General features: G+C 55.5%; 1 protein-coding gene across 7 annotated transcripts, besides 20 other annotated features; it reads right to left on the reverse strand.

The window, feature by feature from the left end:
* Window positions 134-343: an enhancer, noted in NCBI's record as "active region_14707". NCBI's record gives its function as "activates an Ori minimal core promoter by ATAC-STARR-seq in GM12878 lymphoblastoid cells {active_cell/tissue: GM12878}" and the evidence as "EXISTENCE:reporter gene assay evidence [ECO:0000049][PMID:35858748]".
* Window positions 134-1,067: a biological region, named in NCBI's record as "H3K27ac-H3K4me1 hESC enhancer GRCh37_chr19:42747245-42748039".
* Window positions 273-1,067: an enhancer, noted in NCBI's record as "H3K27ac-H3K4me1 hESC enhancer chr19:42747245-42748039 (GRCh37/hg19 assembly coordinates)". NCBI's record gives its function as "activates a minimal SCP1, AML or CMV promoter by ChIP-STARR-seq in naive and primed H9 embryonic stem cells {active_cell/tissue: H9 hESC(naive and primed)}" and the evidence as "EXISTENCE:reporter gene assay evidence [ECO:0000049][PMID:30033119]".
* Window positions 404-453: an enhancer, noted in NCBI's record as "active region_14708". NCBI's record gives its function as "activates an Ori minimal core promoter by ATAC-STARR-seq in GM12878 lymphoblastoid cells {active_cell/tissue: GM12878}" and the evidence as "EXISTENCE:reporter gene assay evidence [ECO:0000049][PMID:35858748]".
* Window positions 1,068-1,861: an enhancer, noted in NCBI's record as "H3K27ac-H3K4me1 hESC enhancer chr19:42748040-42748833 (GRCh37/hg19 assembly coordinates)". NCBI's record gives its function as "activates a minimal SCP1, AML or CMV promoter by ChIP-STARR-seq in primed H9 embryonic stem cells {active_cell/tissue: H9 hESC(primed)}" and the evidence as "EXISTENCE:reporter gene assay evidence [ECO:0000049][PMID:30033119]".
* Window positions 1,464-1,523: an enhancer, noted in NCBI's record as "active region_14709". NCBI's record gives its function as "activates an Ori minimal core promoter by ATAC-STARR-seq in GM12878 lymphoblastoid cells {active_cell/tissue: GM12878}" and the evidence as "EXISTENCE:reporter gene assay evidence [ECO:0000049][PMID:35858748]".
* Window positions 4,337-4,631: a silencer, noted in NCBI's record as "tiled region #11582; HepG2 Repressive DNase matched - State 14:Gen5'". NCBI's record gives its function as "represses a minimal TATA promoter and a strong SV40 promoter by Sharpr-MPRA in HepG2 cells {active_cell/tissue: HepG2}" and the evidence as "EXISTENCE:reporter gene assay evidence [ECO:0000049][PMID:27701403]".
* Window positions 4,749-12,308, reverse strand: ERF (ETS2 repressor factor). 7 transcript variants are annotated; one of them, XM_047438394.1, is made up of 6 exons: window positions 11,022-11,079; window positions 8,569-8,620; window positions 8,126-8,344; window positions 7,511-7,745; window positions 7,007-7,122; window positions 4,749-6,918 (listed from the first exon to the last, which is right to left on the reverse strand). In XM_047438394.1, exons 4-6 carry the CDS (start codon window positions 7,540-7,542, stop codon window positions 5,645-5,647), a joined length of 1,422 nt encoding a protein of 473 aa, XP_047294350.1. In that variant the 5' UTR covers window positions 7,543-7,745; window positions 8,126-8,344; window positions 8,569-8,620; window positions 11,022-11,079; the 3' UTR covers window positions 4,749-5,644. The 7 variants fall into 7 exon arrangements, with proteins under 7 accessions (XP_047294350.1, NP_001427349.1, NP_001299585.1 ...); NM_001440420.1 differs by lacking the exon at window positions 8,569-8,620; NM_001312656.2 differs by lacking the exons at window positions 8,126-8,344; window positions 8,569-8,620; window positions 11,022-11,079 and adding an exon at window positions 12,284-12,308.
* Window positions 10,770-10,929: a silencer, noted in NCBI's record as "silent region_10694". NCBI's record gives its function as "represses an Ori minimal core promoter by ATAC-STARR-seq in GM12878 lymphoblastoid cells {active_cell/tissue: GM12878}" and the evidence as "EXISTENCE:reporter gene assay evidence [ECO:0000049][PMID:35858748]".
* Window positions 10,980-11,029: a silencer, noted in NCBI's record as "silent region_10695". NCBI's record gives its function as "represses an Ori minimal core promoter by ATAC-STARR-seq in GM12878 lymphoblastoid cells {active_cell/tissue: GM12878}" and the evidence as "EXISTENCE:reporter gene assay evidence [ECO:0000049][PMID:35858748]".
* Window positions 11,050-11,169: a silencer, noted in NCBI's record as "silent region_10696". NCBI's record gives its function as "represses an Ori minimal core promoter by ATAC-STARR-seq in GM12878 lymphoblastoid cells {active_cell/tissue: GM12878}" and the evidence as "EXISTENCE:reporter gene assay evidence [ECO:0000049][PMID:35858748]".
* Window positions 11,260-11,329: a silencer, noted in NCBI's record as "silent region_10697". NCBI's record gives its function as "represses an Ori minimal core promoter by ATAC-STARR-seq in GM12878 lymphoblastoid cells {active_cell/tissue: GM12878}" and the evidence as "EXISTENCE:reporter gene assay evidence [ECO:0000049][PMID:35858748]".
* Window positions 11,410-12,099: a silencer, noted in NCBI's record as "silent region_10698". NCBI's record gives its function as "represses an Ori minimal core promoter by ATAC-STARR-seq in GM12878 lymphoblastoid cells {active_cell/tissue: GM12878}" and the evidence as "EXISTENCE:reporter gene assay evidence [ECO:0000049][PMID:35858748]".
* Window positions 11,410-12,509: a biological region, named in NCBI's record as "H3K27ac hESC enhancer GRCh37_chr19:42758837-42759336".
* Window positions 11,865-12,364: an enhancer, noted in NCBI's record as "H3K27ac hESC enhancer chr19:42758837-42759336 (GRCh37/hg19 assembly coordinates)". NCBI's record gives its function as "activates a minimal SCP1, AML or CMV promoter by ChIP-STARR-seq in primed H9 embryonic stem cells {active_cell/tissue: H9 hESC(primed)}" and the evidence as "EXISTENCE:reporter gene assay evidence [ECO:0000049][PMID:30033119]".
* Window positions 12,110-12,509: a silencer, noted in NCBI's record as "silent region_10699". NCBI's record gives its function as "represses an Ori minimal core promoter by ATAC-STARR-seq in GM12878 lymphoblastoid cells {active_cell/tissue: GM12878}" and the evidence as "EXISTENCE:reporter gene assay evidence [ECO:0000049][PMID:35858748]".
* Window positions 13,005-13,536: an enhancer, noted in NCBI's record as "H3K4me1 hESC enhancer chr19:42759977-42760508 (GRCh37/hg19 assembly coordinates)". NCBI's record gives its function as "activates a minimal SCP1, AML or CMV promoter by ChIP-STARR-seq in primed H9 embryonic stem cells {active_cell/tissue: H9 hESC(primed)}" and the evidence as "EXISTENCE:reporter gene assay evidence [ECO:0000049][PMID:30033119]".
* Window positions 14,332-15,153: an enhancer, noted in NCBI's record as "H3K27ac-H3K4me1 hESC enhancer chr19:42761304-42762125 (GRCh37/hg19 assembly coordinates)". NCBI's record gives its function as "activates a minimal SCP1, AML or CMV promoter by ChIP-STARR-seq in naive H9 embryonic stem cells {active_cell/tissue: H9 hESC(naive)}" and the evidence as "EXISTENCE:reporter gene assay evidence [ECO:0000049][PMID:30033119]".
* Window positions 15,154-15,974: an enhancer, noted in NCBI's record as "H3K27ac-H3K4me1 hESC enhancer chr19:42762126-42762946 (GRCh37/hg19 assembly coordinates)". NCBI's record gives its function as "activates a minimal SCP1, AML or CMV promoter by ChIP-STARR-seq in naive H9 embryonic stem cells {active_cell/tissue: H9 hESC(naive)}" and the evidence as "EXISTENCE:reporter gene assay evidence [ECO:0000049][PMID:30033119]".
* Window positions 15,154-15,993: a biological region, named in NCBI's record as "H3K27ac-H3K4me1 hESC enhancer GRCh37_chr19:42762126-42762946".
* Window positions 15,793-15,993: a silencer, noted in NCBI's record as "peak3489 fragment used in MPRA reporter construct". NCBI's record gives its function as "represses an SCP1 promoter by STARR-seq MPRAs in K562 erythroleukemia cells {active_cell/tissue: K562}" and the evidence as "EXISTENCE:reporter gene assay evidence [ECO:0000049][PMID:32103011]".

Here is a 24,492-nt window from a genome sequence, read left to right on the forward strand (position 1 = left end):
CCTGAAGCACTTTAGGAAGCAGAGAGCCTGATGCACGCTGGGAAACGGAGTCCACTCACTCAGTCTATTAGCTGTGTATGCCTCCCAGAGCTCGGTGCGCTCTGGGAAATTGAGTCGGCCCGCGTGAACCTGCGGGTCTCGGGCCGTGAGGCAAGCCGGGAAATGGAGTCGTCGCCACGCCCTCACCGCATTGCAGGTGTAAAGCGATTTTTAAAGCACGCCGGGAAATGGAGTCTCAGGTGGTTTTTAAGCCCCAGGTGGATACTGCAGTTCCGGAGATGGGCGAGGAAATGGAGTAGGTTTACGCGCTCCTCTTTCCAGGTACGCTGGGCCGCAGTCCCTGCCGGGAAGTGTAGTCAGCACCAAGGCCTCAGTGCAGTTGCCACAGCGAGCCCTGGTGTGTTCTGGGAAATGGAGTTCGACGTATCCTCCCCATTGACTGAGGGGGCGGGATCGCCCATGAGCTCCAAGCATGCTGGGGAATAGTCCAGACCTGACCCTCTGTGAGGCCAGTCTGCGGAGGCTTGCCGGGAAGCGAAGTCCAATGGCCACCATCAGGGGCGTGTGAACGAAAGGTTAGAGACTGCGGCAGTTCCCTGGAGAGACTTAAAAGTGTTTCAGCGCCTCCTTCCTCGCCCCCAGGTCCTTCTTTAAGAAAGAGCCGAGGTCGATCAAGGACTGCTGGAAAATGGATCCAAGCACCTTTAAGTTCCAGGTGACCATAGATCAGGAAAGAAAAAATGTCCCCTCTCTAACCGCAACTCTGCAAAGATTCGGGAAACAAAGTTCCCGGCGGTTTCTCAGAACACTAACTAGTCTTCGGATACAGTCTAGCTTTTCCTAGCAATGTGGTTCGCACCAGGAAGCTGAATGGAGCATTAAAAAGACGGAAATGTCATTTCTGGGCCTGGCGCTGTGGCTCAGGCTGGGCGCCAGTAGCTCACGCCTGTAATCCTAGCACTTTGGGAGGCCGAGGCTGGCGGATCATCCGAGGTCAGGAGTTCGAGACCAGCCTGGCCAACATAGCGAAACCCCCGTCTCTACTAAAAGTACAAAAATTAGCCGGGTGTGGTGGCGGGCGCCTGTAATACCAGCTACTCAGGAGGCTGAAGCAGGAGAATCGCTTGAACCCGGGAGGCATAGGTTGCAGTGAGCCGAGATCGCGCCACTGCACTCCAGTCTGGGCGAAAAGAGTGAGACTCCGTCTCAAAAAAAAAAAAATCCTGTCTTGAACCACCATTCAGTTTTCAGTTTTTGGTTTGTTTTGAGACAGGGTCTCGCTCTGCCGCCCAGGCTGGCGGGCAGTGGCGCAATCACAGGTCACTGCAGCCTCTAACTCCCAGGCTCAAGCAATCCCCCCACCTAAGCCTCCCATGTAGGTGGGACTACAGGCGTGCACCATCACGCCCAGCTAATTTGGTTTGGTTTGTTTTTTGGGGTGGTGGGGGGTAGCGGGGTGGGCTTCGCCATGTTGCCCAGGCTGGTCTCCAATTCCTGGGCTCAAGCGATTCTACCTCAGCCTCCAACGTGCTGGTATTTCAGGCTTGAGCCACGGCACCGGGCCTCCCACTCTTGTGTTTTGCATCCTCCGCTTCCTAAATTACAAGATCCCGGAAAGCCAAAAATAAGGAAGCCAGCTGCCTCAGGTTTTGTGTACTCAGTGAGTCGTCCTATTTATCGATTAATACCCGAAGGAGAGTAGCCCCCAAAAGGCGCTGGGAAACAGAGTTCCTGTGTCTGTATGTGTCTCTTCCTCCCCCGGAAATACTTAGAAGTAGAATGAAAGCGTTCTCAGCCCCTCCCGCATCCTGGAATGGTGGGAAATGGAGTCTCTGGACTTCACGTTAATCCGAGCTTGTGCTTATACTAACTGTCCTGTCCTTTCTGAAACCAGAAGAAAGTCCTGTCCACTCAGTTTGTTCCTGACTGCAATTCCCCGCGGACACAACTGCGGGGGTCGGTAGCGCCAAAGCCTGTTGAGACTACATTACCCAGAAGGCAAAGTGCGGAACACTTCCGCTCCCTTCACAAAGCAGGTGGCCGCACCACGCGCGGCTAGGCGCGGGCGTTTCTGGGAGTTGCAGTTTCCCAGCCAAATGGTACCTGCTGCCCTCTGATGGCAGCTCTGAGTCAAAAAGTAAAAATTTCAGTCGAGCCCCTTGGCCTAGGGATTCCAACGCGGGACCAAGACGGCTCAAAAGGGCGGCGACATGGGGCAGGATAGCGAGGGTTATTTAACCGCCAGAACCCGTGGGGCATGCGCCGCTGCGTGTGGGCAACCGCCACGAGGGGATTGGGGTCCGTGGGAGTTTGAAGGTGACGGTCTGCAATCTATCAGGATGTTTGTAGAGGATGAGAATGTTCATAGAGGGATGCTAGGAAGGGTTGTAAACGTCTGAGAGAGGCCTATGGGTGTCTAGAAGGGCTAAGAGGAGTCCGTGGAGTGGTGAAGGGGTCTTTGATGAGCTTAGTTGACAGGATAATTACTGGGGACCAGTGGAGAAGCCTGAGGGGACTTAGGCTGTCTGCTAAAAGTTCTATGGGTGGGTGGACGCGATGGCTTACACTTGCAATCCCAGCACTTTGTGAGGTCAAGGCCGTGGATCACTTGAGGTCAGTCAGAAGTTCGAGACCCGCCTGGCCAACATGGAGGAAACCCCATCTCTACTAAAAACACACAAAAAAATTAGCCGGGCGTGGTGGCCCACGCCTGTAATCCCAGCTACTCGGGAAGCTGAGGCACAAGAATCTCTTGAACCTGGGAGGCTGAGGTTGCAGTGGGCTGAGATTGCACCACTGCACTCCACCCTGGGCAACAGAGTGAGACTCTGTTTTGAAAAAAAAGAAAAAAAAAAAAGGTCTATGGGAGACAGAAATTACTGGTGACCAAGGGGATCTCTGAGCGACCTGAAGGGGTGAGGGATGGTTGAGAAGCATTGGGAAGGGGCTTTGAGAGTCTGTGGAGGTACTGGGGCTACACGTACAAAGCAGGGAGGTCTCTGATGAGATTAATTAATATGTGAAGTGCCTTGAGAGCATCTGTAAAGGGCTTTCTACTTGGAAGCAAGGATCTCAGAGGATATGGATGGGACCAAGGGTGTCTTCTTGCAGGAACATTTCAAGCCAGCTAGCTAATAGATTTAGGTGGGCGATTAAAGGTTAGAGTAGCCGCTGGAGTTTTCAAGGCCAAATGCCACCTGTGACATCCTACACAGCCAGAATCTGGGGCAACTTGTCTGGTAGGGCTGTGGTCTGACCTGGACAGCAGTTAGGGAGCTGAGCTGAGCACTTATGATTCCATATTAGATGTGGTTAGAGGTGCTTTGAAGGCACTGGGTTCAGGGGCTGAGGCCAGTAGTTAGGGTCCTCTCCTCCCGAGTGACAACATCCCCTTCTCCATCACCCCACCACCACCACCAACTCAGCTGCAACTATGTTGCCAGGAGACATGTCTCATCCCAGCTTCCAGAAATAGCCCAGTGGCCCCCACCCCAGGGAATGACTTACATCACCCAGGAGAGGGAGCAGTTTCCCGCAGGCCGCCTCGGGAGCCTCGGTTTCCTGCCAGTATCCTAGCCCTGGATCCTCTCTTCCCTGCCAACCGACATCATCTGGGACCACCCACCCTGGCTGGCATGAAATGAGATGCGAGTGGGTAGCAGTTGCCAGTCAACGTTTCTTCCCCCTCAGGGTTGCACAGGGTGGAGTTTCATGGCGAAGCCAGTCCAACAAGCCCTCAATTGCCACTCCATCTCTTAGCAGCTGTGTGGCCTTGGGGAAACCCCTTCCCCTTTCTGGGCCTCAGGCACCTCACCTGCATGGTGGAGACAGAACTTGTCTCTAAGGGTACTTCCAGCCTGGATTATTCCTCCTAATTCTTTCATCCCTGATTCAAGCTCTCCAATCTCAGCTTCTAGCTCTATGAGCTCATCTCAAATCCTCTGATCCTGAAAGCCTGATCTGGATCCAACTATCTTGGTGTTAGGAAGGAAAAGTCAGGAGTTGTTGAAAGAACGTGGGCTTTGAAGTCCTGGCTCAGCCACAGGGCCCTGGGCAAGTCACTTAGCAGCACTGGTTGCCCCTACCTTACTGGATACTGAAGGAGCTACAACACTGCAGCTCTTAAGTATTGGACACACAGTAGGTCAACAGCATCGATGACTAGTGAGCCAGTCCCTTGGCTGTGTGCTGGCTGGGGGTGTTCCCATACCTGGACCTGAAGATCACCAAGTTACCTTGCAAGGTCTACATTTCAAGAGACACCACAGGCTGTTCTCCAAAGGACTCCCAGCTGAACTCAGAGCAACAAGAGAGGGGTGTGGGCAGGGTGCGAGGGGCAGTGCAAAAGGGAGCTCCTGGTCTTCACTGGGGACCTGGGGTGTGGGAAGAATTCCTAGCCACAAGTGGGAAGGCATCCAGGCAATCAGAAGAGCAAGGGCAGTGGGGTTGTGGTGAAAAACAGTGGGAAGAGCTTTCAAGGACAAGGTCCCCATGGAACAGAGGAGCAGTCTGATGAAGCCGGCGCATGCCTGAGACCACTATCATCAAGCTCTGGGGCTCATGTGCCTCTGAGGTCAGGAGACGGTTTCCCAGGCCTGGATTTGGCCCATTCTGATTAGGGTTAGGCCCTCTATACTGATCTGGCCACAGACCCACTAGCAGCCAGGGTGGGGCCCCTCCTTCAGAATCAAGCAAAAGCTGTGGCCCTCAGGGGGCTGCACCGAGCACCTAGGACATTGATCACTGCATCCAAAGGTCCAAAGTTTTATTGTTTTGAATACATTCTCCAGCGGCCCCTCTACTCCCCCCACCCTCAGTCCCCAATACAGAATAAGGCTTGACCACAGCCCCCCACCCCACCCCAGAGGCCCCAGCTGGGAGGCAGAGGGGGCTTCCAGTTTGGTTTCAGGGCACCCCCTTCCCATCCCCCCACCCGCCTGCCCATGGGCCAGTCCTAGGAGCAGCTGGGGATGAAGGGGTTGGACCGGTGCTGGGGTGGGGAGTGGGAGAGGGATAGCAGGCACTTGTAGAGATTTGTGGCCCATGGGCGGCACCCCTCACCCTCCTCCGCCCCCCACCCCCCAACACATGGAATTTTTGGTTCATTATAAAATTGTCCCTCCCTCCCCTGCTGTGACCTTGTGGGGTATGAGAAACCTAGGCACTCATGGCCCCCTGGAGGGGCAGGGCAGGCAGGGCTGGGGCTGAGGAGGGCTGGGAGTGGGGCAGAGCGGGTGGGTCAGAGGGGTACAAGAGGCAGAGAACAGGGAGGGAGACAAGGCTTTACTTCCTAAGCGATTGTAATAGAAAAGTTCCTGGGTGTTAAGGCCAAAGCCTCAATTCAAATATAAATTCCCCAGAATGGAGGTGACCCCCTTAACTTCCCCCTCCCTCCCCCTACCACCACTTTGCCCAGAGCTTAGAAACCCACAGAGACAGGGAATAGCCCCTAGCCCTGGGCACCCACCCACCCCCACCATTTTTAAAAAAAAGAAATTAAAGTTTTATACAAAATGTGGGGAGGGAAAAGGGAGGAGGCAGGGAAGAGACAAGAGAGCTGCCCTCACCTCCAGGGCATAGGGGGCTTAAGGCAGCAAAAGAAGCATGGGGGGTGCGGGGCACACAGGTCCCCTGCCCACAGCCCTCAGGAGTCTCGGTGCTCCAGGGAGAGCTGGGCCGTGGCATGCTGGAGGTCAGAGCTCACCCGCCTTGGGGTGAGGGGCCCCCCAGCCTCCCCAGGCCCCTCCCCACGCACCTTCTTGTCCTCACCCTCATCCTCAAAGCCCCCAGCGGGGCCCCCACCCCCTTCGAGGCGACAGTCTTCACTCCAGCGCCGCTTAAAGCGTAGCTTGAGGGGCATGCACTGGGATGCCCCGGGTGCCTCGCCGGGCTCAGGCTTAGGGGGTGCAGGTGGGGCACGGGGCGTCTTGAACACCTCCCCGTCTTCCTCATCCTCATCACTGATGTCAGTCACCTCTACCTCCTCCGACTCGCCTTCCGAGATGGGCTCCACCTTGATCTGTGGTGGCGGGGGCGGTGGGGCTAGCGCCCCTGCCCCCTCAGCCAGCCCGCCTGCACTGCCACCGCTCTTGTCAGCACCGGCTACGGCCTTCTCCCCAGCTGCCCGCTGCCGGCGTCCGAGTGGGGGCGGCTGGAGCTTAAACTTGAATGGGGAGGAAGAAGAAGAAGAGGATGACGAGGCCGAGGAGGGGACCGGTGGGGTCTCGGGTGCCATGGGCGGCAGCGGGCACTTGTCAGGGCGCTGGGGCTGGGGCACCACCAGCCCAGGGTAGTGCAGGAAGGCGCGGGGGCTGAGGTGGTAGTTGTAGACGCTTTGGGTGTGGGCCTGCAGGTACCGTTTCATGTCCTCAGGGCTGAAGGAGAAGTGGGAGCCTCCCCCTGAGCCGCTGGGCCCCCCGCCACCACTGGGGTACATCGGGCTCAGCGTGGGCGAGGGAGTGTAGGCCAGGTGGGTGGGCGTCATGGGCAGAGCCGGGGAGAGCTGAGGGGGCAGCAGGGATCCAGGACCGGCCAGAGGCGACACAGGGAAGGGGCTGAGGGGTTCAGGGCCACCCCGAGGCCGGGGATAGACTCGGAAGACACCAGGGTCATGGGGCAGGCGGGCCAGCGGGGGCCCTCGGAAGGCACCCAGATCCGGAGGGCCGGGTGGTCGGGCGCGGGGATCCTCTCCCAGCGGTTCCTCCAGCTCTGACGTGCCATCACTACAGTCACTGACTGAGCCTCGGCCCAGGCGGCGGGCCACCACAGCCGAGAAGAGGGAAGATGAAGATGAAGAGCAGGCTGGTGGTGAGCGGGGGTCCTCGGTGGGGGACAGCACCTCGGAGGGCGTTGAGGGAGGGAAGCGGAAGTGGCTACCACCCGACGGCACTGGCGGGGCACTCTGGGGCACTGCACCCCCTGGCAGAAGGGAGACAGTGTCAAGGCCCCTGGCCTAGCCTGAAGGGGCATGTAGACCCTCTCCACACCAACCATCCCTGGTACTCACCAGCCAACCCCACATCAATGAATGGGTAATTGACCAGCACCAGTTTGTTGAAATTGAACTTGTAGGTGAACCGTTTCCCCTTGGTCTTGTGCAGAATGCGCTTGTTATAGTAATAGCTGTGGGTACAGAAATGCCATTGGGAAGGTCAGGTACGTGGGACCCAGGTCTAGACTCCACACCTTAACACGCACTTAGGTGTGGTTCCCAAAGGCCAACTGAGGAACGTAGGCCACAAAAGACAAATCAAGTGCCCAGAGGGTGGGTACCAGCTCTCTCCTCACATCTAAGGCAGGACTAGAGGATCCACTGGTGACTGTAATCTCTCCTCAGGATACGTCTGTGTTACCAAGGGGCTCAGGGAAGGGCTGGGAGTGGCCCAAGGTCACACAGCTAGGATTTGGCAAAGCCAGGGGTCAGACCCAATGCTTGTTCCCACAGGCAAGGGGCTGTGCAACCCCGGGGGGGCACTCCACATGTGCTCAGGGGTCCCCAGCCCGTCCTCACCGCAGGGCCCGGCTCAGCTTGTCGTAATTCATCTGGGGCTTGCACTTGCGAACGCCCCACAGCCGGGCCACCTCATCAGGGTCTTTGATGACGAATTCCCCGTAGTCCCCCTGCCAGGCAATGACGCCCTGGTACTCCTCCTTCCGCAGCAGCTCCAGGATAAAGTGCCACAGCTGGATCTGCCTTGAGCCAGGGGACGACTCTGGCTTGTAGGCCCAATCCGGGAAGGCAAACCCTGGGGACGGGAGGCAGGGAGTGGCCTGGGGTCAGGCTGCCAAGTCCAGGGCTCTGGGTCCCATCCCAGGGTCCACCTCTGCCCTGCCTTCAACATGGGGAAATCTGTCTCACCTCAGCCAAGTCAAGATCTGATTTAAGAGAAGACAGTGCGTGTCTGTCTGTCTGCATGTGAGGGGCTAGACAGGAGCTGGGGGGGAGGGGAAGCTGGAGCCCGCTCCAGCGACACCGGGAGAAACAGGAAACCGTCGGCGGTGGGTCCCGGGGCCAGTGCCAGGGGGCCAGGCACCAAGCCAGGCTGGCGGGCAGGGCTGCCAGTGGGGGAGGGGCAGGAAGGGGCACACGTGGCCAGCCGGGTTGGGGTACAGCCCCCCAGCTTACCCCCACTCCCATTCAGAGCCAGTTGCACCACCCCAGCTCCTCGGATGTCCTCCTTAGAAACATGCACTGTCTCCTCCGAAGACCCAACAGAGCCCCTACTCCCAACCCCAAGACCTGAGAGGAAGATTTTTTTTTTTTTTCTTAAAAGGACCAGGAGGGGTGGGGTGACTCGGTTGCCGATGAGGTCAGCGCTTGCACACACAGAGGCTTCTGTCTTCCCTGGAGAGTGAAACCCAGACTGTCTGAGAGGCCCCCCAAGCCCTGGACCCTCTGAGCTACACTGCCCTCCCCAGACCCAGGCATCCAGGCCCCACCTGGCTGGAGGGCCCAGCCCAGGCCTGGAGCTTGAGCAGGCACCCTGGAGCTGTCACCCTCTTCCCACTTCTGCCTTCTCATCTTCAGCTCCTTCCCTGCCCACCTGCCTGCCCACCCCCAGCATTAACCTTGGGTAGAGGTTGGCGGTGGGCTGGCTGGTCTCTGGAGGGGGTGGGCAGCCTGGGGTGGGGGGTGGGGGGTGGGGGGACTGCGGTTGTTGTCATTTCCCAACAACAGGGGCCATCAATAATTCAGCACCAGGCAGCCGGTAATGGAGGGGTGGGAGGAGGGAAAGGGGAGGAAGGGAAGGAGTGGGGAGGCAGAGCAGGGTCCCTGGTGCCACTAGAGAGAGAAGGCCAAGGTGGCCAGCTAAAGATGGGCGGCTCCCAAATCCAGTCAGGCTGCAGGGGTCAATCCGCCTCCCTTGGCCCCAGCTCAAACAGGTACCAACAAGGCCTCCAGGCAACACATCCACCCTCAAAGACTCCACCCAAGTCTGGAATCCAACAAGGGATCCTTCCCCTTGGGAATCCAGGGAATCAGTAGTTCCTGCTCCCACAGGGACCACCCCCTCCAAATCCAGAGCTCACTGTAGGCCCCCAACTCCTGCCCAGACTGGGCTGCAGTACCACATAGCCCCCGGAGTCCCTGCCCCATTCAGATATATCCCAGCCTTCCACCAGCCCCTCAGGGTGCCAGGGATATGACCTCCAGCTGTTCACAGACCAGCACCAACAGCCCCTGTTCCATTTAAAAGTGACAGCCTTTGACAACCCCTTCCAGAGACCCCAGAGCACCATCGCTCTCTTGGGAATCTAGGTGTTCAACCCATTATCCTCACCCTTCTAGAGAATCCAGATCACAAGGTCTCCTGCAAGGCCCAGGGTCCTTTGGAACCCAGGTGACCCAGCCACCAGCTTCATGGACCCTCATATCCCCTCCAAAAAGCTCCCAGCCCCTCTCAGGGAACCAAGCTCCATGTTACTTCCACCTCAGCCCCAATCTGGCTCTAGACCTAGAAGGGGGGCCAAAGCCCCTGAGACATCAATCTGGGGGTGGGGGATGTACTGACTTCCACCCTCCCCCCAAAATTAAAGCCACCCTTCCCAGCCCACCCGCCCCAGCCTCCGTGTCCCGGTAACCAGGCAACGTGTGTGCAGCGACAGTCCTGGGAGCGGGGGAGCAGGAGGCTAAAAATAAACTTTGCAGAAGAGAGGGAGTGAGAGAGACTACATGCAACACAAAGGGAACTCGGAAAGGAGGTGGGGGGGCTCTGGAAAGGCCTCAAGCCGCATTCTGGGAGCTGTCCCAGGCCCCCTTGTTAAACCCCTTCCCTGAGCAACCCCTCCTCCAGGGCCTGGACCCTGGCTCCCACTTCTGGCAGGGACCCTTCCCCACTCCCAAGCCCACCACAACGGCGGCTTTCCTCATCGGACACAGCATACATGAAGGCCTGTTCCCGGCTTTGGGGGGGGGAGAATGAAGAGGGGGTGACGTCAGGGTGTCTCAATGGGGCTCTGTTCCCCAGGCCTTGGAGCCAGGAGCCAGGCACGGGCAAGGGGAGCATGTGTGAGTGTGCTGTGTATGCGTCCACGTGCTTAAAACAGGGAAACACCAGACCTGCACGGAGGAAGCTTGGGGGTGCGGGACCTCGGGAACATGGGGGCCAGTGAGGCAGGGAGAGAGCAGGCACATGGAGAGAGGGGTTCAGGAGACTGCGAGACAGAGTGCAGAAGTGGCAGCAGTCAGACAGCAAGGGCTGGGATGGCGAGGTCCCAGAAGCACACCTGGGTCCCACAGAGGCGGGGTAGGGATTCTCCCAGACAGACTATGCAAGCCTGGGGGGACAAAACTCCTGGGCACCCCCCAACCTCACGTGACGGCCCAAACTTTTTTTAAGGGACTATGAGGGTCGGAAGGGAGGAGTGGTGGCAGAGGAAGAACACGCCGGCCTCCTGGGGGGCCCCACCACCTCCCCCACTCCAGGCGGCCCTCTATGGCGCCAGAGCCGGGAAGAAAACAGGAAGTGGGAAACAGCCACGGCAGAGAGAGGGACCGGGATGGAGAACTGGATGGAGGGGTGCGGAGCGGCAGGCCAGGAGGCAGACGGGAAAGATGCACCGATCGGAGGCCATTCCAGGCCTCCTTCCCCTCCCCTCCCCCAGCCGGAAAACCCACACACTGTCCCGCCCCCCGACAGGGTTGGGGAAGCGACCCGCGGATCCTATCAGGCCAAGGCCGGTAGCAGGGAGAGAAGATGAAGCGAGGTTGTCTGGGTGCCTCGGCCTCCTCCTTGGGCGAGGGTAGGCTCCTGCTGCCCCCAGGGCCCAGCCACCCGGGAGCGAGTGGAAGCCGGGGGAGTGTGTAGGACGCACGTGACTGACCCTACCGCACTCCGCACCCCGGCCCCACCCCCAGGGCCCCTCCTCGGTCCGGGTCCCAATCCCCTGGCGCCGGATCCCAGCTCGGAGCCCTTTAAGATTAAGCCGCCCCCACCCGCCGAGCAGGGGGATGGGGATGGGAATGGGGTGGGAATGGGGTGGGGATGGGGTGGGGTGGGTGGGCCGGTCGGGGCACACACCCGCACACAGGAGCCCGAGCCGCCGCCGCCGCCGCCGCCGCCGCCGGGGGAAGGAAACAAGTTTGAACAGCGGCGCCCGGCCCCCTTCCCCCTCCCCCGTCCCCGCCCCGGGCCGGATTCCGACGGGGTAGACGGGCAGGGGGCGGCTGGGACCCCTCCCCCTGCGCGCTCGGGCGCAAAGTCCAGCCCGCGCGAGCCCGGGGGCGGCGGGGGAGGGGAGGGGGAAAAGTCCGAGTGGGAGGGGGAGTTAATCCCGCTGCCCCCCGCCCGCCGACCGAGGGGGAGGGGAACCTTGGCCCCTTAAGGAGGAGCAAGTTGGCGGGGAAGAGAGGGGCGGAGGGAAGAGACGGCCCGCTGAAAGAGAAGAGGTGGATCCGGGAGGGGGGGCGAGGGGGGAGCCTCTGCGTCTCCCCCCACCTTCCCCACCCTCCTCAACCCCGGGCCACCGGTGGCGCGGGAGGAGGGTACCCAGGTCTCCCCGGAGCCACCTTAAAGCCGCGCGTTCTAAGGTCGGAAACAAAAAGTTCCTTTTTCGAACGTTCGGGCTGCGCTTTGGAACTTTGCGACTCGGCGAGGGCGGGGGAGCGAGGAGCCGACAGAGGCGGGCGGGGGAGGGGCGGCGCAGCCAGGACCCCGAGTCCCGGGCTCCCCACTCACGCCCTCCTCCTAGAGGCCATCCCGTATCCCCCGCTAACCTGGTGCAGGGCACGCGCCGCCGTGAAGGTCACCAGCAGGACCGCGCAGCGCAGAACCAGGGATAGCGGGCCCGGTGGACGAGCCCCCCCGCCCCGCACACGTCCCGGCCCCCAGAGTGCAACGTGACAAGAGCGGAGGGGAAGGACCCCGCCACCCCCGTGATCCCGGGAGTGGGGGAGAGCCCGGCCTGCGGGGTCCCGGTAGGGATACAGGACCAAGACCCGCAGCACCCACACCACTCCGCCCGGAGCCAGGAATCGGGGGTCCCAGGCAGCAACCCCGCTCGCGCCACGAGAAGCAACAGGTCTCCAGTGCTTGAGGGGTCCCCCAGAACTGGGGATCACTCGGGCTCCCCCGGACCCCTTCAGCCCCCCCAAAGTTTCTCCGTTCGGTTTCCCGGGGCAACAAGTCTCCCCCACACGTGCTGCCCCCGCCCCCACCTGTGTCCGCCGGGGTCTTCATGCTGGGGGGCCCGGGGCGAAGCGCCCCGATTCCGGGCCGCGGCTCCCGGCGCCCTCGCTGCCCCGTCCCGTCCCGCGCCCGTCGGGCCGCCCTCGCCGCCTCACCCGGCCTCGCCTCTCAGAGCCTCTCCCCTCCCCGCCGCCGCCTCCCGGGTTAATATCGCACTCCGGGGCCGGGACGCCCACGCCCCCCGGCCGGCGACGTCACCGCCGCGTCGCCATGGAGACACTGCGCCCGCCCCCTCCCCGCGCACTCACACACACGCTCGTCGGCGCGCAGCCACTGAGGACCGGCCGGCTCTGGGCTTAAAGGGGCCGCGCGGCGGGGGAGGGAGGAAGGAGGGGGTGGGGGTGGGATGGGGTCCCGCGGGTCATGACCCTAGTCAGAGGCTCCGAGTCTGCAGCTAACTTAAGTCTTCGGCACTCGCTACCTGCTGCCCCTCCTCCTCTCCTGCCCACTGCGGGCTCCAGAGTTTCTTTTGGGAGCCTGTATGGGAAAACGGGGGGCCCTTCCGAGGAAGCGGGGGTCAGAAACTTTTGTGGGGAGGGGGCAGAATCTTCTCTGCAGAGGGGCGGGGTCAGGACCTTAGAAGATGATGAAGACCACAGCATTTCCCAGCTTGGTTTTACCCAACCCCCCAACCCTGAGCCTGAATGGGGGCAGCTGTCCAGGGGTGGGGTGGAATGGGTGGGATGCATTTCCCAGCATCGGAAATGGGGAGGCGGCTGTGCCCTCCGCTCCTGTGGGGATGGGGTCTTGGCTTCCCTGATAACCCCCGTCCAGCTGGGGAGGAAGTGACCAGAGAGAATGCATTTGGAAGCCCCCACCACCACCGTCCCCAGGCTGCAGCTGTCCCGGGGATAGGGCTGGCGCCGGAGGTCCCCCCACGTCCACTACTAGGACCGGGGGTTCCGGAGGCGGGGCCGGGATACGAGGGGGCGACCAAAGTCTGAACAAATGTGCTCCCAAGGGGCACTGAGGGTCGCCAGGAGAGAGGAAGACAGGGCTTAAGATCGAAAGCCAGAGCGTAGAGAAGTGTTAAGTCTCCGTTCTCTGCCTCAGCCGGGAGGGAAGGATGAAGCCTGAGGCTCTGGGAAACAGGAAATCACAGCGCAGATCTGATGGAGCCCAGGAGCCGGCAGCAGGGTAGAGGCCAAATAGAAGCAATATTCACAGGCATAGCCTGGAAACAGAGTCTCAAAAAAGACTCTGAGGTTCCGAAGGAGGGGCGTATGGGTGGCGGGCGGGAGTTGGGGGGGCTGGGTGGGGGACGAATCCAGAAGATGGGCGGGGAGACAGAAAAGTCACAGATAGGGAAGGCCTGCGGAGCTCAGGCTCCCGGTACCCAGGGCTTCAATCCCAGCCTCCTCGCTTGCGGGGTACCTAGTCCACCTTAGACAGGCTCCTCACCAGTGCCTAAAAAAAAAAGTCTCAGGCCTCCTCCTTGGGGAGACCAAGGGCTCCAGGGAAGCTTTCCCCCACAACCCCCGGGAATTATGTAACCTTGCCTACGGACAGTACAGCTCCCCCACGGATATTGTAACCCTCTGGGAGCGGTGTGGTCCAGCAATAATAATCATCTTCATTGTTCGAATAACAGCTCCCGAATTCCGAGTGTTCATGATGTGCCAGGCACCGGGCCAAGCATTGTCAGGGGCATCTTCTCATTTAATCCTCACAAAATCCCAACGAGGGGAATTACTGCTGTTATCCCCATTTACAGATAAAGAAAGTGATGCTCTCTGAGGGAAAATCAGTCCACTAAATCTTACAGCCAGGAAGTATTGGAACTAAGATTCGAACCCAGATCTAACCAATTCCAAACCACCACATTTACCCTTTACCATTATGCTTTATTACCTCTTTTACTACCCCCTCCAAAAAAAAAAAAATGCAGATTTTCAAAGATACTACATCAGGGCCCGGCGCAGTGGCGCACGCCTGTAAACCTAGCACTTTGGGAGCCGAGGCGGGAGATCACTTCAGGTCAGAAGTTCCAGACCAGCCTGGCCAACATGGTGAAACCCCATCTCTACTAAAAGTACAGAAATTTGCCAGGCGTGGTGGCGCACCTGTAATCCCGGCTACTCAGGAGGCTGAGGCAGGAGAATCGCTTGAACCCAGGAGGATCGCTTGAATCCAGGAGGCGGAGGCTGTAGTGAGCCGAGATCGCTCCGCTGCACTCCACCCTGGGTAACAGCAAAACTCCGTCTAAAAATAAATAAATAAAAAGGCTGGGCGCGGTAGCTCACGCCTGTAATCCCAGCACTTTGGGAGGCCGAGGCAGGTGGATCACCTGAGGTCTGTAGTTCGAGACCAGCCTGACCAACATGGAGAAACCCCGTCCCTACTAAAAATACAAAAAATTAGCCGGGCTTGGTGGTGCATGTCTGTAATCCCAGCTGCTCGGGAGGCTAAGGTAGAATCGCTTGAACCCGGGAGGGGGTTGGTTGCGGTGAGCTGAGATCGCGCCATTGCACTCCAGCCTGGGCAACAAGAGCGAAACTCAGTTTCAAAACAAACAAACAAACAAAAAGATAACACATCAGTAACAAACCCAGTGACCCCTACCCTCCCACCAGCAAGACAGAGATGAGTTACACCCAACCTTTTTTTTTTTTTTTTGAGACGGAGTCTCACTCTGTCGTCCAGGGTGGAGTGCAGTGGCCCCATCTCGGCTCACTGCAAGCTCCGCCTCCCGGGTTCACGCCATTCTCCTGCCTCAGCCTACTGAGTAGCTGGGACTACAGGCGCCCCCCACCACGCCCGGCTAATCTTTTGTATTTTTAGTAGAGACAGGGTTTCACCGTGTTAGCCAGGATGGTCTCAATCTTCTGACCTCGTGATCCGCCAGCCTCAGCCTCCCAAAGTGCTGGGATTACATGTGTGAGCCACCACACCTGGCTGTTACACCCAACCTTTGCTACTTCTTGTCTCTGACAAGGCAAGTGAACTCAGTTCACCTCTTTTTTTTTTTTTTTTTTTTTTTGAGATGGGGGTCTCACTGTGTTGCCCAGGCTGGATTGCAGTGGCACAATAATGGCTCACTACAGCCTCGACTTCCCTGCCTCAAGCAATTCTCCCACTTCAGCCTCCTGAGTAGCTGGGACTACAGACACATGCCACCATGCCCAGTTACTTTTTTTTTTTTTTGAGATGGAATTTTGCTCTTGTCACCCAGGCTGTAAGTGCAATGGCACGATCTTGGCCCACTGCAACCTCTGCCTCCCTGGTTCAAGCAATTTTCCTGTCTCAGCCTCCTGAGTAGCTGGAATTACAAGCGCCCACCACCATGCCCAGCTTTTTTTTTTTTTTTTTTTTTTTGAGACGCAGTTTTGCTCTCCTTGCCCAGGCTGGAGTGCAGTGACACCATCTTGGCACATCGCAACCTCCGTCTCCTGGGTTCAAGCAATTCTCCTGCCTCAGCCTCCCGAGTAGCTAGGATTACAGGCATGCGCCACCACGCCCAGCTAATTTGTATTTTTAGTAGAGACGGGGTTTTTCCATGTTGGTCAGGCTGGTTTTGAACTCCTGACCTCAGATGATCCACCCGCCTCAGCATCCCAAAGTGCTGGGATTACAGGCGTGAGCCACCATGCCCAGCCAACCCAGCTAATTTTTTTTTATTTTTAGTGGAGTTGGGGTCTCTCTGTGTTGACCAGGATAGTCTCCAACTCCTGGGCTCAAACGATCCGCCCACCTTGGCCTCCCAGAGTGCTGGAATTACAGGTGTGAGTCACCCTGCCTAGCGAAGTTCACCTCTTTTTTTTTTTTTTTTTTTTTGAGATGGAGTCTCGCTCTTTCGCCCAGGCCAGACTGCAGTGGCGCTATCTCGGCTCACTGTAAGCTCCGCCTCCCGGGTTCACGCCATTCTCCTGCCTCAGCCTCCCGAGTAGCTGGGACTACAGGCACCCGCCATCACGCCCAGCTAATTTTGTGTATTTTTAGTAGAGACGGGATTTCACCGTGTTAGCCAGAATGGTCTCGATCTCCTGACCTCGTGATCCGCCCTCCTTGGCCTCCCAAAGTGCTGGGATTACAGGCGTGAGCCACTGCGCCTGGCCAAGTTCACCTCTTTGAGCCTCAATTTTCCTCATTTGTAAAATGGAGGTGTTAATAGATCCTACATGATCAAGTTATTGTGAAAAATCAGAGATGTGGCCAGGCGAGGTGGCTCACACCTGTAATCCCAGCACTTTGTGAGGCCGAGGCAGGTGGATCACCTGAGGTCAGGAGTTCCAGACCATCCTGGCCAACATGGTGAAAACCCGTCTCTATTAAAAATACAAAAATTAGCTGGGCGTGGTGGCTGGCGCCTGTAATCCTAGCTACTCAGGAGGCTAAGGCAGGAGAATCATTTGAACCCGGGAGGCGGAGGTTGCAGTGAGCCGAGATCATGCCATTGCACTCCAGCCTGAGTGACAGGGCGATACTCCGTCTTAAAAAAAAAAAAAAAAGAAAAAAAGAAAAATCAGAGATGCAAAGTAAGTATGCAATAAATACTGTTAATAATTATTAGCAGAGTGAACTCTATGCCCCATGGATAACAAGAGCACTCTACCCTACAGACTCCAACTGTAACAACAGTTAGAGTAAACAGCAATAAACAGGCTGGCTGCAGTTTGTGTCTGACACATGTAATCCCAGCACTTTGGGAGGCCGAAGCAGGAGAATTTCAAGAGGCCAGGAGTTCAAGACCAGCCTGGGCAACAGAGTGAGACTCTCTCTACAAAAAATTTATTTATTTTTTTTTTTATTTATTTGAGATGGAGTCTCCCTGTGTCACCCAGGATGCAGTGCAGTGGCAGGATCTCAGCTCACTGCAACCTCTTCCTCCCAGGTTCAAGCAATTCTCCTGCCTCAGCCTCCCGAGTAGCCTAGATTACAGGCTTGCGCCACCACGCCCGGCTAATTTTGTGTTTTTAGTAGAGATGGGGTTTCTCCATGTTGGCCAGGCTGGTCTCGAACTCCTGACCTCAGGTGATCCGCCCACCTCGGCCTCCCAAAGAGCTGGGATTACAGGCGTGAGCCACCAAGCCTGGCCGGGAGGATGGTTCTTACTGGCAGATCTGTGTCCGTGGTGTCCAAAGGGCAGCCCAGGCTTATGTTTTCTTTTTCTTCTTTTTTTTTTTTTTAATTTTTATTTTAAGTTCTGGGATACATGTGCAGGACGTACAGGTTTGTTACATAGGTAAACGTGTGTCATGGTGGTTTACTGCACCTATCAACCCATCACCTAGGTGTTAAGGGACATTTTTTCTTAAAAATAAAATTTAAAAAAATAAAGCACACTGCACTGACAGTGTGAAATTGTGTATTAATGTCATAATCCCACTCTGACCCAGATGGTTGGCTCAAACTCAGTGTTTCTATGAAACACAATCACGGATGATCGGCATGCCTCGTGGGAGAATCTGAACGATCCGCGGAGAGTGAAAGTCCCTCGTGAAAATGTCGTCTGGGCCTCTTAAGTTTGGTGGTTTGTGCAAACGTGTCCATGGATATTGTAATCTTTCAGTGGCCTATGTGACTCCAATTGCTTTATCAACACTGATACCCACCCCCAGAGATGGTAGAGATGGTGAAATATTGGCCAGGTGCGGTGGCTCATGCCCGTAATCCCAGCACTTTGGGAGGCTGAGGTGGGCAGGTGGATCACCTGAGGTCAGGAGTTCAAGTCCAGCCTGGCCAACATGGTGAAACCCTGTCTCTACTAAAACTACAAAAATTAGCTGGACATGGTGTCGGGTGCCTGTAACCCCAGCTACTCAGAAGGCTGAGGCAGGAGAATCGATTGAACCCAGGAGACAGATGTTGCAGTGAGCTGAGATTGGGTTCAAGTGATTCTCCTGCCTCAGACTCCCGAGTAGCTAGGATTACAGGCGCACGCCACCATGCCCAGCTAATTTGTTTTTGTATTTTTAGTAGAGGCAGGGTTTCACCATGTTGCCACGCTGGTCTCAAACTCCTGACCTCAGGTAACCACCCTCTTTGGCCTCCTGAAGTGCTGAGATTACAGGCCTGAGCCACCACACCCAGCTTTTTTATTTTTTATTTATTATTTTTTTTTTGAGGTGGAATTTCGCTTCGTCACCCAGGCTGGAGTGCGTTGGCACGATCTCGGCTCACTGTCACCTCCACCTCTTGGGTTCAAGCAATTCTGCCTCAGCCTCCCAAGTAGCTGCGATTACAAGTACCCGCCACCACGCCTGGCTGAAAACCCTGTTTTCTTCCCCCCCGAGACAGAGTCTTTCTCTATTACCCAGGCTGGAGTGCAGTGGCACAATCTTGGCTCACTGCAACCACCGCCTCCCGGGTTCAACCTATTCTTCTGCCTCAGCCTCCCAAGTAGCTGGGATTACAGGTGCCCACCACCATGCCCGGCTAATTTTTGTATTTTTAGTAGAGATGGGGTTTCAACATGTTGGACAGGCTGGTCTTGAACTCCTGACCTCGTGATCTGCCTCAGCCTCCCAAAGTGCTGGGATTACAGGCGTGAGCCACCGAGCCCTGTTTCTTTCTTTCTTTTTTTTTTTTTGAGACGGAGTCTCACCATGTCGCCCAGGCTGGAGTGCAGTGGCGCAATCTCAGCTCACTGCAACTCAGCCTCCCGGGTTCACGCCATTCTCCTGCCTCAGCCTCCCAAGTAGCTGGGACTACAGAGGCCCGCCACCACGCCCAGCTAATTTTTTGTATTTTTTGTAGAGATGGGCTTTCACCATGTTAGCTAGGATGGTCTCGATCTCCTGACCTCGTGATCCGCCTGCCTCAGCCTCCAAAAGTGCTGGGATTACAGGCGTGAGCCACTGCACCCGGCCTAACCCTGTTTCTTAAGAAAAAAAGATAGTGTGATGCGGGGGATTGAGTCCAATCTCTCCCCCTCTGCAAAACCCTGTTGCAGTGTTCTCTATCAAAACAAAACAAAAATTTAAAAAATGAATAGTATGACTCATCTCATATGGTATAGCCACCATACACAGTGTGACCACCTCTAAACAGAATGTCACCCCCTTAGAGTATCACTCTTTCTCATCTCCCTGACTGAAGATGCTGAAGGCACCAGGGCTCAGATCCCTCTTTTCTCCTGTCTAGACTCATTCCCTTGATAACCTCCACCAGTCCCACAGTGGATATGCCATCTCTATGCTGATTACACCCACAGTTATTTATTTATTTATTGGTTTATTTATCTCTCTCCTCTCCTTCTGTCTCCCTCCCTCCCTCTCTCTCTCTCTCTCTCTCTCGTCTCTGATCTCTCTCTCTCTCTCTTTCTTTCTTTCCTCTTTTTCCTTCTTGACAGGGTCTCACTCTGTTGTCTGGCTGGAGTGCAGTGGTGCGATCACAGCTCACAGCAGCCTTGACACCCTTAGGCTCAGGTGATCCTCCCACCTCAGCCTCCTGAGCAGCTGAGACTACAGCTGTGCACCACCACACCTGGCTAATTTTTGTATCTTTTTGGAGAGATGGGGATCTTACTATGTTGGCCAGACTGGTCTTGAACTCCTGGGCTCAAGTGATGCTCCCACCTCAGCCTCCCAATAGTGTTGGGATTACAGCTGTGAACCACCGCGCCCAGCCTCCGCCCACAATTCTATCTCAATCTCGACTCTCCCCTGAACTCCAATCTGGCACATCCAACTACCTCACCAGTGTGTCTATCTGGATTTCTCAAGCTTGCCAAATCAAAAATGGTCTTCCTGAACTCCCCCAAACTGCTGCCCCCACAAGCTTCCCCATCTCAGGAAATTGCAATTCCATTTTGCTGGCTGTTCAGGCTGAATACCTTGGAGTCATCCTTGCCCCCTTTCTCTCATCCGATATCCAATCTGAAGGGAATTTCCACCAGCTCTACCTTTGACTATTCTAGAATCAGCTACTTTTTTCTTCCTTTTTTCGAGATAGGGTTTGGCTCTGTTGCCCAGGGTGGAGTGCAGTGACACCATCTCGGCTCACTGCAACCTCCGCCTGCCAGGCTCAAGCCATCCTCCTACCTCAGCCTCCCAAGTAAGTGGGACCAAGTCATATGCCACCACTCCTGGCTAATTTTTTTTTTTTTTTTTTTTTTTGAGATGGAGTCTCGCTCTGTTGCCAGGCTGGAGTGCAATGGCGTGATCTCAGCTCCCTGCAACCTCCGCCTCCCGGGTTCAAGGGATTCTCCTGCCTCAGCCTCCTGAGTAGCTGGGACTACAGGCGCCTGCCCCCACGCCCGACTAATTTTTGTAATTTTAGTAGAGACGGGGTTCCACCATATTGGCCAGGCTGGTCTCAAACTCCTGACCTTGTGATCTGCCCACCTCGGCCTCCCAAAGTGCTGGGATTACAGGCGTGAGTCACCATGCCCAACCACTCCTGGCTAATTTTTTTGTGTATTTTTTTGTTGAGATGGGGTTTCACTATGTTGCTCAGGCTGGTCTCAAACTCCTGGACTCAAGTGATCCTCCTGTCTCAGCCTCCCAAAGTGCTGGGATTACAAGCGGGAGGCATTGTATCCAGCTTATTTTATTTATTTATTTATTTATTTATATTTTTCTGAGACAGAGTTTCGTTCTTGTGTGTTGCCCAGGCTGGAGTGCAATGGCACAATCTCGGTTCACTGCAACCTCTGCCTCCCGGGTTCAAGCAATTCTCCTGCCTCAGCCTCCTGAGTAGCTGGGATTACAGGTCAGGGTGGTCTCAAACTCCTGACCTCAAATGATCCACCTGCCTTGGCCTCCCAAAGTGTTGGAATTACAGGCCTGAGCCACTGAACCGAACTGGATTCAGTCTATATTTTTCACTGCCTTGTCACCAGCGCCTAGACCAGTGAGTGTCATAGAATAGGTTTGTAATATTGGCTGGGCACGATGGCTCATGTCTATAATCTCAGCACTTTGGGAGGCCGAGGCAGGCGGATCATGAGGTCCCAAGATGGAGACCATCCTGGCTAACACAGTGAAACTCCATCTCTACTAAAAATACAAAAAATTAGCCGGGCATGGTGGTATGCACCTGTAGTCCCAGCTACTCGGGAGGCTAAGGCAGGAGAATTGATTGATCCCAGGAGACAGATGTTGCAGCGGACTGAGATCACGCCACTGCACTCCAGTCTGGGCAACAGAGCGAGACTCTGTCTCAAAAAAAAAAAAAAAAAAAAAAAAGAGAGAGAATAGGCTGATAATATGTATTTGCTGAAGTAAGTGAACTGAGTGCACATTCACCTGGTCCAACCCACAAAAAATATGAACCCATACAAATGGTGCAATGTCCATAACTAATAAACCCCCACATACAGTGTGAGCCCCAGTGTAGAAAGTGAGACCCTCAAATGCATTGTGAGTCTCTCATATAGATGGCAAGATAGCATATAAATAATTTGTGGGTCACGCGCAGTGGCTCATGCCTGTAATCCCAGCACTTTGGGAGGCTGAGGTGACTGGATCACTTAAGGTCAGGAGTTCGAGACCAGCCTCACCAACATGGTGAAACCCTGTCTCTACTAAAAATACAAAAAAATTAGCCAGGTGTGGTGACGTGCACCTGTAATCTCAACTACTTGGGAAGCTGAGGCATGAGAATCGCTTAAACCCGGGAGGCGGAGGCTGCAGTAAGGTGAGGTATTACCACTGCACTCTAGCTCTGGCCAACAGAGCAAGACTGTCTCAAAACAAACAAACAAACAAACAAACAAAAAACCAATTTGTGCCCCACACAATCTACTTGTGAGTGTTATCGAGGCAGTATAATTTCTTTTTTTTTTTTTGAGATCATGAGGCAGAGTCTCGCTCTGTCGCACGATCTTGGCTCACTGCAACCACCACCTTCCAGGTTCAAGTGATTCTCCCACCTCAGCCTCCCAAGTAGCTGGGATTATAGGCGCTTGCCGCCACGCCCGGCTAATTTTTGTATTTTTGTAGAGATGAGGTTTCTCCATGTTGGCCAGGCTGGTCTCAAACTCCTGACCTCAGGTGATTCGCCCGCCTCGGCCTCCCAAAGTGCTAGGATTACAGGTGTGAGCCACCGCACCCGGCCATTTCTTCTTTTTTTTGAGACGGAGTCTCACTCTGTTGCCCACTACAGGCGTGTGCTACCACACCCAGCTAATTTTTTGTATTTTTAATAGAGACGGGGTTTCACTGTGTTAGCCAGGATGGTCTTGATCTCCTGACCTCGTGATCCGCCCGCCTTAGCCTCCCAAAACGCTGGGAGTACAGGCATGAGCCACCGCGCCTGGCCTGTATTTTTATTTTTTGGAGACACAGTCTTGTTCCGTTGCTCAGGCTGGAGTGCAATGGCGCAATCTCAGCTCACTGCCACCTCTGTCTCCTGGGCTCAAGCAATTCTCTTGCCTCTGCCTCCCGAGTAGTTGGGATTACAGGCACCCGTCACCATGCCTTGCTAATTTTTGTGGTATTTTTAGTAGAGACAGGGTTTTACCATATTGGCCAGGCTGGTCTCAAACTCCTGATCTCAGGTGATCCACCCACCTCAGCCTCCCAAAGTGCTGGGAGTACAGGCGTGAGCCATCACACCCAGCCGAATTTTTGTATTTTTAGTAGAGATGGAGTTTCACCATGTTGGCCAGGCTGGTCTTGAACTCCTGACCTCAAGTGATCTGCCTTCTTGGCATCCCAACATGGTATAACTCTTGTAAGCAGGGGGAATCCCTACATGGACATTACAAATTCACCACAGCCAGAGAACATCCTAAACTGACAGTCGAGACCTCCTTTCACTGCAGCAGGCTCCCTAGGCCAAGTGAATTCCCTCATGCAGAGTACACACCTCTCTGCTAAAAGTCTAATTCTCCCTCACTCCTGATGCAAACGGACTGTGGAACACAAAACCCTACCCTGATCAATAAAAATCTCCCCCAAACATAATGTAAGCTCCCATGGGCAATGTGAACCTCTGTCCCTTATGAGCCTCCCCACAGACATTGTAATCTCTTTCATATCGATGACAAAGTTAACACAGACAGGGCACATCTCCATGCATGGAGAACTCTCTGTGGCTGCTGTGAACCCCTTTTGTGATAGCATGAAGCACTCCCCATGGGGCTACCTACAAAGGCAGTGTGCACTCTCTTGAGTGTAAATTTCCCCCAGATTCAGCATCTACCCAATGTGCACAATATAAACTGCTTTGTCAAACCTCCCTCAACTCCGGGTCCACCCAATATGGAAGGATGAATTGTCTTTTAGGATTACATTAACGGCTAGATGCAGCGGCTTATGCTTATGATCCCAGCACTTTGAGAGGCCAAGATGGAAGGATGGCTTGAGGCTAGAAATTGGAGACCAGCCTGGACAACATAGTGAGACTCCATCTCTACAAAAAAAAAAAAAAAATTAGCAGGGCATGGTGGTGCATGCCTGTGGTCCCAGCTACTCAGGAGGCTGAGGCAGGAAGATTGCTTGAGCCCAGGCACTCAAGGTTGCAGTGAGCTATGATGCTGCTACTGCACTCCAGCCTGGGCGACAGAGTGAGACCCTGTCTGAAAAAAATAATAATAAAATAAAAATAAATAAAATTAGGCCGGGAGCAGTGGCTCATGCCTGTAATCCCAGCACTTTGAGAGGCCGAGGTGGGCAGGTCATGAGGTCAGGAGTTCGAGACCAGCCTGACCAAAATGGTGAATCCCCGTGTCTACTAAAAATACAAAAATTAACCAGGCATGGTGGCATGCGCCTGTAATCCCAGCTACTTAGGAAGCTAAGGCAGGAGAATCGCTTGAACCCAGGAGGCACAGGTTGCAGTGAGCCGAGATCGCGCCACTGCACTCCAGCCTGGGTGACAGAGCAAGACTCCGTCTCAAAAAAAAACAAATTTAATTAAAAATAAATAAATAGGCCGGGTGCAGTGGCTCACACCTGTAATCCCAGCACTCTGGGAGGCCGAGGCGTGCAGATCACGAGGTCAGGGGATCGAGACCATCCTGGCTAACACAGTGAAACCTCGTCTCTACTAAAAATACAAAAAATTAGCCGGGCGCAGTGGCGGGCGCCTGTAGTCCCAGCTACTCGGGAGCCTGAGGCGTGAACCCGGGAGGCGGAGTGTGCAGTGAGCCGAGATCATGCCACTGCATTCCGGCCTGGGCAACAGAGCGAGACTCCATCTCAAATAAATAAATAAATAAATAAATACAATTATATTGCAGTAGTACTAGTAGTATGATAGTTTAAGATTATATAAATAATGTAACAGGGCCGGGCGCAGTGGCTCACGCCTGTAATCCCAGTACTTTGGGAGGCCGAAGTGGGTGGATCATGAGGTCAGGAGTTCAAGACCATCCTGACCAACATGGTGAAACCCCGTGTGTACTAAAAATACAAAA

The sequence above is a fragment of the Homo sapiens genome, chromosome 19 (genome assembly GCF_000001405.40).
Source record: "Homo sapiens chromosome 19, GRCh38.p14 Primary Assembly".
Taxonomy (NCBI): Eukaryota; Metazoa; Chordata; class Mammalia; order Primates; family Hominidae; genus Homo; species Homo sapiens.

Bases quoted from the DNA above. Each gene is read 5' to 3' on its own strand.
- ERF (NM_006494.4), bottom strand. From the start codon at position 12,179: ATGAAGACCCCGGCGGACACAG. The intron at 7,746-12,157 runs GTGGGGGCGGGG...TCCCGTCCCCAG, and splicing joins GAAGACCCCGGCGGACACAG to GGTTTGCCTTCCCGGATTGG. The intron at 7,123-7,510 runs GTGAGGACGGGC...CTGTACCCACAG, and splicing joins AAGCTGAGCCGGGCCCTGCG to CTATTACTATAACAAGCGCA.